This window comes from Homo sapiens, chromosome 1 (assembly GCF_000001405.40).
Source record: "Homo sapiens chromosome 1, GRCh38.p14 Primary Assembly".
NCBI lineage: Eukaryota > Metazoa > Chordata > Mammalia > Primates > Hominidae > Homo > Homo sapiens.
Genome location: NC_000001.11, coordinates 156,296,956 through 156,310,227, shown reverse-complemented (window position 1 = coordinate 156,310,227; position 13,272 = coordinate 156,296,956). Strand labels below are relative to the sequence as shown.

The window sequence follows — 13,272 nt, the reverse complement described above, 5'->3', positions numbered from 1 at the left end:
AGCCACCATGCCCAGCCTGGTCTAGTCTTGAAGGGAGGGGTAAAGAAGGCAGAATATTCCTCTAAGGTATTCCAAGGCATTCTATCTCTTTAATTATCTTTAGCTCGTACTAAAAGCAAGATAATATAGCACAATCTGTATCACTTGCTTAGGGAGAAGTGCATTTTTTTTTTTTTTTTTTTTTTTTTTTGAAACAGACTATCGCTCCGTTGCCCAGGCTGGAGTGCAGTGGCATGGTCTCCGCTCACTGCAGCCTCCACCTCCCAGGTTCAAGTGATTCTCCTGCCTCAGCCTCCCAAGTAGCTGGGATTACAGGTGCCTGCCACCACACCCGGCTAATTTTTTCTATTTTTAGTAGAGACGGGGTTTTACCATGTTGGCCGGGCTGGTCTCGAACTCCTGACCTTGTGATCCACCTGCCTTGACCAACCAAAGTGCTAGGATTACAGGTGTGAGCCACCACACCTGGCTGAGAACTGCATTTTACATTCAGGACTGAAAAGGCCGGGCATGGTGGGTCACGCCTGTAATCCCAGCACTTTGGGAGGCTAAGGCAGGTGGATCACGTGAGGTCAGGAGTTCAAGACCAGCCTGACCAACATGAGGAAACCCCATCTCTACTAAAAATACAAAATTAGCCAGGCATGGTGGTGCAGGCCTGTAATCCCAGCTGCTTGGGAGGCTGAGGTAGTAGAATCGCTTGAACCCGGGAGGCGGAGGTTGCAGTGAACCGACATCATGCTACTGCACTCTAGCCTGGGTGATAAGAGGGAAACTGCGTCTCAAAAAAAAATAAAAGACTGAAAAGGTAGATTTCAGACAAAATGGCAGTTCCATAGTAGCATCTAGGTGATAGATCTAAAGGAAAGAAAAGTGTCCTTTCCTTCTCTGCTGACCTCTTTGCATCTGTGGTTTTTCTCCTAGACGGCAGTTCTGCTACTGCGAATTGATGACATCGTTTCAGGCCACAAAAAGAAAGGCGATGACCAGAGCCGGCAAGGCGGGGCTCCTGATGCTGGCCAGGAGTGAGTGCTAGGCAAGGCTACTTCAATGCACAGAACCAGCAGAGTCTCCCCTTTTCCTGAGCCAGAGTGCCAGGAACACTGTGGACGTCTTTGTTCAGAAGGGATCAGGTTGGGGGGCAGCCCCCAGTCCCTTTCTGTCCCAGCTCAGTTTTCCAAAAGACACTGACATGTAATTCTTCTCTATTGTAAGGTTTCCATTTAGTTTGCTTCCGATGATTAAATCTAAGTCATTTGAGAAAGTTGTTATGTGTTTTTCAACCTTGGGCCATCTCTCTTATCTCCTGGCAAATAGGTGGAGGCAGAAAACCTTACTGGGGAGGGAAAGGAGACCTGGAATGAGGGCATTTAGACTCTTTTGCCTTCTTGAGGGAGTATTCTTCAGACTTCTCAGTAAATTTTGGTTGGAAAGACCCTTTTGGAGTTCAAAGGATAATACTGTAAAGCTTACAAAGCACCATTTTGCATTCACTGCCCAAAGAACAAGAGGAACCTGTCTAAAGCATGGGTGTTCCCCATATGTGGTTGTATGTAGAGGAACACCCAGTACATCCTAGGGCTCTGGCATGTGTCCTAAAGGACATATAACTTTTTTTTTTTTTTTGGTGTAGTTTTCAGAATTCTCCCTTTACCATGAGTTATTTTTCTCTGCCCTCTTCCAATGTTTTTACAATTCCAGTCTTCATTTTGGCTTGCTGACCTTTTCTCATGCCAGTATCCTGTCACAGTCAGACCTCTCTGCCTTTCTGCTAGCAGAAACAAAATATTTAAATTCCATTTGTTTTTATCAAGGAGAGAAAAAAAATCTGAGTAGTGGTCCCAGGATGCTAGAGGCTAGGTGGTACTAGCCTTTGATTTCTTCAGTGTTCCACTTGTCTACTGGGCTTTTCACCCTCCCATCTGTCCTTATGACTCATACATTTAGCCTTGTTTATCTCTTCCCTGACCATGGGACCTAGTCACATAAAGTTGAATACTTGGTAGAATAATGGTAAGTACTGTCTAACAGATGTGTTCTAGTCATTTGAATGTTAACTAATGGATCCTCACAACAGCCCTCTAAGACAGGTAATGTTATCCCCCATTTTGTGAGGGAGAAATCTAATGCATAGATAGGTAACTTGTTAAAGGGTCACAAAGCTGGTAAGTGGCAGACCTGGAATTCATATGTAGGCACTGTGGTTCTAGAGGCCATGCTTTAGAGATGGGGTTTCTCTGTGTTGGTCAGGGTGGTCTCAAACTCCCTACCTCAGGTGATCCACCCATCTCATCCTTGCAAAGTGCTTGGATTACAGGTGTGAGCCACCATGCCCGGCCAAGGAAGCCATGCATTTATAGCTGGCTATCCTGACTGATCTGAGGTGTGGGATGGAAAGGGGCTTGTGAGATGCCTATGGCTTTAGCTTCCTGCTTAGGTCAACCAAAGCTCTGCCTATACGCTTCTGCAGGGGACTCAGAAATAAGCCTACCTGCCTTTTGCTGAAATCTCTGCCTCTGCTTGCAGTGTTTTAATTCTCTTGGAGCTTTAAACTCCTCAGAGATGATAAGTTAATTCTTTTTTTTATTTATTTTTTTGAGACGGGAGTCTCGCTCTGTCGCCTGGGCTGGAGTGCAGTGGTGTGATCTCAGCTCACTGCAACCTCTGCCTCCCGGGTTCAAGCAATTCTCCTGCCTCAGCCTCCTGAGTAGCTGGGACTACAGGCGTATGCCACTATGCCCAGCTAATTTTTTTGTATTTTTAATAGAGACGAGGTTTCACCATGTTGGTTGGCCAGGATGGTCTCCATCTCTTAACCTCGTGATCGTCCTGCCTCGGCCTCCCAAAGTGCTGGAATTACAGGCGTGAGCCACCACGCCTTGCCGATGAGTTAATTCTTTAATTAGTAAAACAAGATAGTGAAATATTGCCCATAACACCTGAGAAATGATGAAAGTCCTAGGAAAGCTAGTCATCTTGTAGATTCTTTTTTTTTTTTGAGATGGAGTCTCACTCTGTCACCCAGCCTAGAGTGCAGTGGCACGATCTTGGCTCACTGCAACCTCCGCCTCCCAGGTTCAAGGAATTCTCCTGCCTCAGCCTCCCGGGTAGCTGGGACTACAGGCACCTGCCACCACACCCGGCTAATTTTTTATTTGTAGTAGAGACGGGGTTTCACCATCTTGGCCAGGCTGGTCTCGAACTCCTGACCTTGTGATCCACCCGCCTCGGCCTCCCAAAGTGCTGGGATTACAGGCGTGAGCCACCGCGCCTGGACATCTTGTAGATTCTTTCCTCCCCTTTGTTCCTTACTCAGTCTAGGTTCGTTTTGTTTTCAGCTCTAATAGTTAAGCACTTGGGTAGTGTCATAGTCTTCCTTACTATTATTGGTACCTCTTTTTTTTTTCTGAGACAGAGTCTCGCTCTGTCGCCCAGGCTGGAGTGCAGTGACGCGATCTTGGCTCACTGCAACCTCCGCCTCCTGGGTTCAGGTGATTCTTCTGCCTCAGCCTCCGGAGTAGCTGTGACTACAGGCGCACACCACCATGCCTGGCTAATTTTTCATAATTTTAGTAGAGACAAGGTTTCACCTTGTGTTAGCCAGGATGGTCTCCATCTCCTGACCTCATGATCTGCCCGCCTCGGCCTCCCAAAGTGCTGGGGTTATAGGCATGAGCCACTGTGCCTGGCCCTATTGGTACCTCTTTTTTTTTTTTTTTGAGATGGAGTCTCACTCTGTCACCCAGGCTGGAGTGCAGTGGCACAATCTCAGCTCACTGCAAGCTCTGCGTCCCAGGTTCACGCCATTCTCCTGCCTCAGCCTTCTAAGTAGCTGGGGCTACAGGCGCCTGCCACCACGCTCGACTAATTTTTTGTATTTTTAGTAGAGATGGGGTTTCACCGTGTTAGCCAGGACGGTCTCAATCTCCTGACCTCGTGATCCACCCACCTCGGCCTCCCAAAGTGCTGGGATTACAGGCATGAGCCACCGCGACTGGCCTATTGGTACCTCTTTTTTAAAGCATCTGTAATATCTGCTTTCTTTTTCCTTTTTGTTTATTTTTTTTAGTTGTTTTTATTTGCCATTTCTAAACATGCGTAAATCCTTCTGGCATGTTAGATCACTTTGGACTGTTTGGCTTTCAAAGCCCCACTTTGCTGTCTAGAACTTAGTGATTTACAAATTTAGCATAGGCCATATGTGGCAGCTCATGCCTGTAATCCCAGCACTTTGGAAAGCCAAGGCAGAAGGATCACTTGAGCCCAGAAGTTCAAGACCATCCTGGGCAACCTAGCAAAATCCTGTCTACAAAAAATTATTTAAAAAAAATTTTTTTTTTTTTTTGAAACAGAGTTTCACTCTTGTTGCCTCCTCGGTTCAAATGATTCTCCTGCCTCAGCCTCCCGAGTAGCTGGGATTATAGGCATGCATCACCACGCCCGGCTAATTTTTTATTTTTGTATTTTTAGTAGAGACAGAGTTTCTCCATGTTGGTCAGGCTGGTCTCAAACTCCTGGCCCGCCTCAGCCTCCTAAAGTGCTGGGATTACAGGCGTGAGCCACCGCACCCAGCCCAAACAAAAATTTTAACAGTGATGAAAGGCTGCCCAGGCCACTTTTGCTGCCCTGCGTGAACCCTATTCACTAAACATTTGATTCCATGAGTGTGGTTTTCCCATGTCCTTGACTCTGCTGATGATCCTTCCCCTGCCAAATTCCTACATTTTAGTCAAGTCCCATCTCCCCTGCCATAAAGCAGTAATTTGGGGGCTGGTGTGGGAGTTTGAATTCCTGACTGCTATTTAAGCCATCTACACTCAGTCAAGACTTGTTTTTATTCTCCCTTATCAGATTCCAGAGTTGATACCTTAGAAGATAAACGTACAGTCATTTCTCAGTATCTGTGAGGGATTGGTTCCAGGACACTCCCCTATACCAAAATCTGCAGCTGTTCAGGACACTTACATCATCATTATCATTATTATTATTATTAAAGACAATCTCTGTCACCTAGCTTATTATTTTATTATTATTATTATTATTATTATTATTATTATTATTATTATTAGAGACAGAATCTCTGTCACCCAGCCTGGAACGCAGCAGCACAATCTTGGCTCACTGCAACCTCCACCTCCCGGGTTGAAGCAATTTTCATGTCTCAGCCTCCTGAGTAGCTGGGATTACATGCCTGGCTAATTTTTGTATTTTTTATAGAGATGGGGTTTTGCCATGTTGGTCAGTCTGGTCTCAAACTCTTGACTTCAAGTGAACCGCCCGCCTTAGCCTCCCAAATTGCTGGGATTGCAAGCATGAGCCACCATACACAGCCAGGACACATTAAATGGCATACTATTTGCATATAACCTATGTACATTCTCCCATATAATTTTTTTCTTTTTTTTTTTTTTCTTCGAGATAGAGTCTTCCTCTGTTACCCAGGCTGGAGTGCAATGGCGCAATCTCAGCTCACTGCAACCTCTGCTTCCCAGTTTCAAGTGATTCTGCCTCAGCCCCCCAGGTAGCTGGGATTTCAGGCATCCGCCACCACACCCAGCTAATTTTTGTATTTTTAGTAGCTACAGGGTTTCACCACGTTAGCCAGGCTACTCTCAAACTCCTGACCTCAGGTGATCCGCCCGTCTTGGCCTCCCAAAGTGCTGGGATTACAGGCGTGAGCCACAACACCCAGCCCTTCTTTCATATACTTTAATCATCTCTAGATTACTTATGTAACTTAATGTAATGTCAGTGCTGTGTAAATAGTTATTATACTGTTTTATTTGTAGTATTTTAAATTTTTCCCCAAATATTTTCTTTTTCTTTTTCTGTCTTTTTTTTTTTTTTTTTTTTTTTTGAGATAGTCTTGCTCCATCGCCAGGCTGGAGTGCAGCGGCACAATCTCGGCTCACTACAACCTCCACCTCCTGGGTTCAAGCAATTCTCCTGCCTCAGCCTCCCGAGTAGCTGGGATTACAGCCCGGTTGTATTTTTAGTAGAGACGAGGTTTCACCATGTTGGCCAGGATGGTCTCGATCTCTTGACCTTGTGATCTGCCCGCCTCGGCCTCCCAAAGTGCTGGGATTACAGGCGTGAGCCACCGCGCCCGGCCTTTTTTCCTCAAATATTTTCAATCCACAGTTGAATCTGTGGATGAGGAGCCAGCAGATACAGAGGGCCAAGCCAACTATACCTTTTTTCTCCAGCAAAATGAGTTTCTGAGAACATTTTGAGAGTTTATTTCCGGAGTAGCTATTTGTGGTTGTGGGGGAGGCAGGAAATTGGATCCCTACTAAATTACAACAAAGTTAGTTCCAGGCAGCTGAAAGGTGTAAATATAAGAAAATATAACCATAAGAGCACTAGAAGAAATATGGGGTTTAAAATATGTGAGGGGACTTCGGGAGGCCGAGGCGGGCGGATCACCTGAGGTCGGGAGTTCAAGACCAGCCTAACCAACATGGAGAAACTCTGTCTCTACTAAAAATACAAAAAATTAGCCTGGTGTGGTGGCGCATGCCTTTAATCCCAGCTACTCGGGAGGCTGAGGCAGGAGAATCACTTGAACCTAGGAAGCGGAGGTTGCAGTGAGCCAAGATCGTGCCATTGCACTCCAGCCTGGGCAACAAGAGCGAAATTCCATCTCAAAAAAAAAAAAAAAAAAAATGTGAGTGGGTAGGAAACTCCATACAAAGTTTGCACTGCAAAAACACAAGGGAGAGAAGATGTTGCAACAACATTAAGTTAATTTCCTTAAAGAACTTTTAGGGTGGACAAGATGGTGCATGCCTATAGTCCCAGCTACTAAGGAGGCTAAGGTGGGAGAATCACTTGAGCCCCAGAGTTTGAGGCTGCAATTGAGCTATGTTTGCACTACTGCACTCCGGCCTGCATGATGCAGCAAGACCCTGTCTTAACAACAACAACATAATACTTTTAGAACTTGACGATTAAGAAGAGGCCTGTAGAAAAATAGGCAAAGGATTTAAAAAGCTCCAGAGGAGCAAAAATTGACTAAAACATGAAGAGATGCTTAACCTTATTCAAAGGGAAATGTAAGCATAATTTGGTAAACACTTGCAATGTGCTCCTAAGCATGTGGTTTGAGTGTCAATTGGTAAACCTCATATAAAGGGCAGTTTGAGCTGACGATTCCACTCCTTGGTACGTATCCTGCTGAATTTGGTTATTAATATGAAATGCTGAGATCTCAGTATTTCTCCTTGGTTGAGTCCATTTCAGACAGGGATATTCTTTCCAGCATTGTTTGTCACAGCAAAATATTACTACATCAACAAGGTTCTGGTTAAATAGATCCATGGAACATACCCCTGCAAGGAGAATGAGATAACTCCAAGTGCATTGATAACAGAACATTCCTCAATATATGAGTTAAAAATGCAAATTGGGGCCAGGTGTGGTGGCTCACGCCTGTAATCCCAGCACTTTGGGAGGCCGAGGTGGGTGGATCATTTGAGCTCAGGAATTCGAGACCAACTTAGGCAACATGGCAAAACCCCATCTCTACTAAAAATACAAAGATTAGCCGGGTTTGGAAGTGCACGCCTGTAATCCCAGCTACTTGGGTGGCTGAGGCAGAATAGCATGAGCCCAGGAGGTGGAGGTTGCAGTGAGCCAAGATCTCACCACTGCACTCCAGCCTGGGTGTGACAGCGTCTCAAAAAAACAAAAAAAAACTGAAGAACAGTGTTTGGGTACCACTGTGTATTATTTATATGTAATTTCTGTATATTTGTATTCTTAAGTATAGGATATCTTTAGAAGGATACATAAGAAACTGGTAGTGGGCCAGGAGCGGTGGCTCATGCGTGTAATCCCAGCACTTTGGGAGGCCGAGGTGGGCGGATTACCTGAGGTCAGGAGTTCGAGACCAGCCTGGCCAACATGGTGAAACCCCATCTCTACTATAAAATACAAAAATTAGCCAGATGTGGTGGCACATGCCTATAATCCCAGCTACTTGGGAGGTTGAGGCAGAATTCCTTGAGCCCAGGAGGTGGAGGTTGCAGTGAGCCAAGATCGTGCCACTGCACTCCAGCCTGGCCAACAGAGCAAGCAAGCAAACAAAACAAACAAACTGGTAGTGATGGTTGTCTTGGGAGGGACCAGTTTGCTGGTGAATAGGAATGATGCCCTTTGGTACTTTTTTTTTTCTTTTTTTTTTTTTGTGACAAGATCTCCATGACGCAGGATTTTTCTCAGCCACTTTGCCAGCCGGGGACCTCTGCAGCCGGCAATGCCTCCTGCCCAGGCCTCGCGCCCCGGGCCTGCTGCCGGAGGTACCCTGCCCACTTAGCCCACCTGGCCACGCCTGGCTTGCACACTGGCTCAGCCCTTGGCTGGGCTGGGGCATGCCCCAGGCTGCCTGTGTTTCAGCTTGTACCCACGTTCAGCAGTTCCCGAGTTCTTGTCATGCATCCAAGAAGAATGAGGTTATGCTGACAGTTCAAAGGGTGAAGAGGGTCGGAAAGAATTTCATTGAGTGACGAAACAACTCTTAATGGAGAAGGGACAGGAGAGTGGTCTCCCAAGTTAGGTGGTTTCTCTCCCCTTGTGGCTGGGTCCGGGGCTTTGATGGGCTCAAAATGGGTGTGTGTGTGCAGATTGGTTTGAGTGTATGCAAAAGAAAAAAAAAAAAAGCTAAAACAAAGGCACCACTCAGCTGGGCGCGGTGGCTCACGCCTGTAATCCCAGCACTTTGGGAGGCTGAGATGGGCGGATCACGAGGTCAGGAGATGGAGACCATCCTGGCTAATACGGTGAAACCTTGTCTCTACTAAAAATACGAAAAAATTAGCCAGGCGTGGTGGCGGGTGCCTGTAGTCCCAGCTACTCAGGAGGCTGAGGCAGGAGAATGGCTGAACCCAGGAGGTAGAGCTTGCAGTGAGCCGAGATCACGCCACTGCACTCCAGCCTGGGCCACAGAGCGAGACTCCATCTCAAAAAATAAATAAATAAATAAATAAATAAATAAAGGCACCTCTCAAAGATGGGCATGACAGTGTAACCAATTAGGGAAGGGTGGGTATATGTAAAATAGGTGACGCGTGGGGATCAATCAGAGGAAAGTGCAACAAACGGGAAGAGTGGTTCTCAATCCCACCTGTGCATTTACCGAGGACTTGTAGCTTGGCTTTCAACTGTTTTCGGCTTGAAGGTGGGGTTTCATCAGGAACCTGCCCCTGTCTGCCTAGGATTTGTCTGTTTGTCTGCCTCCTGTTGCTATCCTCACTTTGTTGCCCAGGCTGGAGTGCAGTGGTGCAATGGGAGGATCAAGGGATCCTCTCATTTCAGCCTCCGGAGAAGCTGGGACCACAAGCATGCACCACCATGCCCGGCTAATTTTTGTATTATTTTGTAGAGATGGGGTCAGGCTATGTTGCCCAAGCTGGTCCTGAACTCCAGGACTCAAGACATCCTTCCACCTCAGCCTCCCAAAGTGCCAGGATTACAGGCATGAGATACCACACTGAGCCCTTTGGTACCTTTTGGATTTTGTACCATGTTCATTTATTAGTCAAAATAAGATTAAAGTAGGCCAGGTGCAGTGGCTCGTGCCTGTAATCCCAGCACTTTGGGAGGCCAAGGCGGGCAGATCACTTGAGGTCAGGAGTTTTGAGACCAGCCGAGACCATGCCATTGCACTCCAGCCTGGGTGACAGACCTAGACCACATCTCGAAAAAACAAACAAACAAATACAAACAAACCAAAAAACGTAATATTTATTGAACACTTCGTTATTCGGGTTCTGGTCCAAGAAGAGTTCACAATTTTATTGTGGAGAAAAGATAGGATATGAGAAAATAGGATATGGGGGCAATACAAGTACTTGTCAAAAGAGGGAGGTGATATCTGGTGGGATGCACTTTTTTTTTAATTTTTTTTATTCTTTGAGATGGAGTCTTGCACTGTTTTGTCGGGCTGGAGTGCAGTGGCGCAATCTCGGCTCACTGCAACCTCCACCTCCCAGGTTCAAGCGATTCTCCTGCCTCAGCCTCCCGAGTAGCTGGGACTACAGGCGTGCACCACCTCAGCCGGCTAATTTTTGTATTTTTAGTAGAGATGGGGTTTCACCATGTTGGCCAGGATGGTCTCAATCTCCTGACCTCCTGATCTTCCTACCTCGGCCTCCCAAAGTGCTGGGATTACAGGCGTGGGCCACCACAGCTTTTTTGAGATGCAGTTTTTTTTCACCACAGTTTTTTTTTTTTTTTTTTTTTTTTTTTTGAGATGGAGTTTCACTCTTGTTGCCCAGGCTGGAGTGCAATGGCTCCATCTCAGCTCACTGCAACCTCCAACTCCCGGGTTCAGGCGATTCTCCTGCCTCAGACTCCCTAGTAGCTGGGATTACAGGCGCCTGCCACCATGCCTGGCTAATTTTTTGTTTGTTTATAAGATGGAGTCTCGCTCTGTCACCCAGGCTGGAGTGCAGTGGCGTGATCTTGGCTCACTGCAACCTCTGCCTCCCAGGTTCAAGCAATTCTCCTGCCTCAGTCTCCCGAGTAGCTGGGATTACAGGCATGCGCCACCATGCCCGGCTAATTTTTTTGTATTTTTAGTGAAGACAGGTTTTCACCATGTTGGCCAGGCTGGTCTGGAACCCCGACTTCAGGTGATCCACGTTGGCCTCCCAAAGTGTTGGGATTACAGGTGTGAACCACTGCGCCTGGCCATGAAGTGTCCAATAAATATTAGATTGACATAAAGAACCCTCAGGTGTGCTATCTCATGGAATACCCTCAAATTCCTCTCTGGATCTTCCTATCACAGTTGTATTATTGGGGTCCCATTTGGATCTCTCCCACTATAGGTAGCTCTTCAGTGGGACGGGCTAGGTAAGAGAGGCTGGGAGTAAGTCTGTCTGATCTAGGATGTCTTGCTTACCACCCAGGTAGGGGGTTATATACTCCCAGCCTTTCTGATTCCATTGTAACTCTTGCCGAAATCCGGGTGAACGGAAGTAGTCTCTTTAAGAACTGGTATGGGCAGGCCCAAGTTGTCAAGGCTTCGGAGGTAATGCCCTGGAGAGCGGGGAACGGGGTGGGTTTAGAGGCCCAGGCGGGCACCCAGGAGGCAGGCCCAGAAGAGTACTGCCAGGAAGAGTTGGGCGCCGAGGAGGAGATGGCAGCCAGAGCAGCATGGCCTGTGCTGCGCTCTGTGAACTCACGCGAGCTCTCCCGGATCATCATCTGCAATCACAGCCCACGAATCGTGCTGCCTGTGTGGCTCAACTACTATGGCAAGCTGCTGCCCTACCTGACGCTGCTGCCCGGCAGGGACTTCCGCATCCACAACTTCCGAAGCCACCCTTGGCTCTTCAGAGATGCAAGGACACATGATAAGCTTCTGGTTAACCAAACTGAATTGTTTGTGCCATCTTCCAATGTTAATGGACAGCCTGTTTTTGCCAACATCACACTGCAGTGTATACCCTGAAAGAGCAATGCCTCCAGGTTGTCGGAAGCCTAGTCAAGCCCAAGAATTACAGGAGACTGGACATCGTCAGATCACTCTATGACGATCTGGAAGATCATCCAAATGTGATTGAAAGACCTGGAGCGGCTGACGCAGGAGCACAGTGAATATCTGTGGATGGCTGGGCACGGTGGCTGACGCCTGTAATCCCAGCACTTTGGGAGGCCGCAGCAGGCAGATCACTTGAGGTCGGGAGTTCGAGACCAGCCTGGCCAACATAGTGAAACCCGTCTCCACTTAAAAAATACAAAAATTAGCTGGGCGTGGTGGCACATGTCTGTAATCCCAGCTACTCAGCAGGCTGAAGCAGGAGAATTGCTTGAACCCGGGAGGTGGAGGTTGCAGTGAGCTGAGATTGCACCACTGTACTCCAGCCTGGGCGACAGATCAAGACTCCATCTCAAAAATAAATAAATAAAAAGAGAGAGAGAGAAAAGAAAATTAATGGATGGAAGAAGAGACTGAAGAATTTTTTTTTTTTTTGAGACAGAGTTTCGCTCTTGTTGCCCAGGCTGGAGTGCAATGGTGCAATCTTGGCTCACTGCAACCTCCACCTCCCAGGTTCAAGCGATTCTCCTGCTTCAGCCTCCCGAGTAGCTGGGATTACAGGCGCCGCCATGCCCAGCTAATTTTGTGTGTGTGTGTTCAGGAGTTCAATAGCAGTCTGGGCAACATGGTGAAACCCTGTCCCTACTAAAAATATAAAAATTAGCCAGGCATGGTGGCGCACACCTGTAGTCCCAGATACGTGGGAGGCTGAGGTGGGAGAATCGCTTCCACCCGGGAGGTGGAGGTCGCAGTGAGCCATGATCACACCACTGCACTCCAGCCTGGGTGACAGAGCGAGACTCCATTTAAAAAAAAAAATTAGCTGGGCATGGTGGCGTGTGCCTGTAATCCCAGCTACTCGGGAAGCTGAGGCAGGAGAATCACTTGAACCCGGGAGGCAGAGGTTGCAGTGGGTCGAGATCTCGCCATTGCATTCCAGCCTGGGCGACAGGTGAGACTCCGTCTCAAAACAACAACAAACAACAACAACAAAAAACAACAACAACAACAATAAAAATCCCCCCAGTAGAGAAAAATTTGGAAGAGACAGAAAAGGAAAAAGGAAAAAAAAAATCACTATAGATACACTACTTAAATACAACCGCTATTAGCATTTTGAGCTATTTCCTTTATCCTTTTTTACATAGTTGAGATCTTACTGTTTATATAGTTTTGTATCCTACTTTTTCATTTAATTTTATAACAAATATTTTTCCATGTTATAAGCTCTTCATAAACATTAGTCTTTCTTTTGCAATTAATGTTTGGGGTATTTTTTGGCATCTTTAGTTCCTTATCCTAACCTTTGTGCACAAGCCCTGTGTTCTAAAATCAGAGTGATGGCTAGTGTGGTGGCTCACCCCTATAATCCCAGTACTTTGGGAGGCCCATGTGAGAGGATCAGTTGAGCACAGGAGTTCAAGACCAGCCTGGGCAACATAGTGTGACCCTGTCGCTACAAAAAAAAATTTTTTTAAATTAGCCAGGCATGGTGGCATGTGCATGAAGTCCCAGCTACTTGGGAGGCTAAGGCAGGAGGATCACTTGAGCTCGAGAGTTTGAGGCTGCAGTGAGCCATGATTGTGCCACTGCACTCCAGCCTTGGTGACAGAGCAGGATGCTGTCTCAAAATAAATAAATAAAATAAAATCAGAGTGAAGTGAAGAAAACAAACACTCCAAAGTTTTCTACAACCCTTTTAAATTTCACCAAATTTTAGCCCGTTC

General features: G+C 46.7%; 2 protein-coding genes across 5 annotated transcripts in view, besides 2 other annotated features; both read left to right on the top strand.

Moving 5' to 3' along the window:
- CCT3 (chaperonin containing TCP1 subunit 3) overlaps window positions 1–1,260 on the top strand; it is a 29,325-nt gene extending 28,065 nt beyond the window's left edge. For all 4 annotated transcript variants that reach the window (NR_036564.2, NR_036565.2, NM_001008800.3 and 1 more), the window contains one exon: window positions 925–1,260. Coding sequence is in view for 2 of the 4 variants with exons in the window: in NM_001008800.3 (NP_001008800.1) it covers window positions 925–1,029 (105 nt within the window). In the remaining 2 variants the exon portion in view is untranslated. The remainder of the gene's footprint in view (window positions 1–924) is intronic.
- Window positions 7,063–7,263: a silencer, noted in NCBI's record as "peak424 fragment used in MPRA reporter construct". NCBI's record gives its function as "represses an SCP1 promoter by STARR-seq MPRAs in K562 erythroleukemia cells {active_cell/tissue: K562}" and the evidence as "EXISTENCE:reporter gene assay evidence [ECO:0000049][PMID:32103011]".
- Window positions 8,309–8,809: an enhancer, noted in NCBI's record as "H3K4me1 hESC enhancer chr1:156271210-156271710 (GRCh37/hg19 assembly coordinates)". NCBI's record gives its function as "activates a minimal SCP1, AML or CMV promoter by ChIP-STARR-seq in naive H9 embryonic stem cells {active_cell/tissue: H9 hESC(naive)}" and the evidence as "EXISTENCE:reporter gene assay evidence [ECO:0000049][PMID:30033119]".
- On the top strand, window positions 10,921–11,604 carry VHLL (VHL like). The gene has a single exon (NM_001004319.3). The coding sequence runs from the start codon at window positions 11,039–11,041 to the stop codon at window positions 11,456–11,458; it is 420 nt and encodes a 139-aa protein (NP_001004319.1). The 5' UTR covers window positions 10,921–11,038; the 3' UTR covers window positions 11,459–11,604.
- Window positions 11,605–13,272: the final 1,668 nt, after the last annotated feature.

What these genes read in the sequence shown, in the direction of transcription:
- VHLL (NM_001004319.3), top strand. Translation starts at nt 11,039, where the DNA reads ATGCCCTGGAGAGCGGGGAACGGGGTGGGTTTAGAGGCCCAGGCGGGC.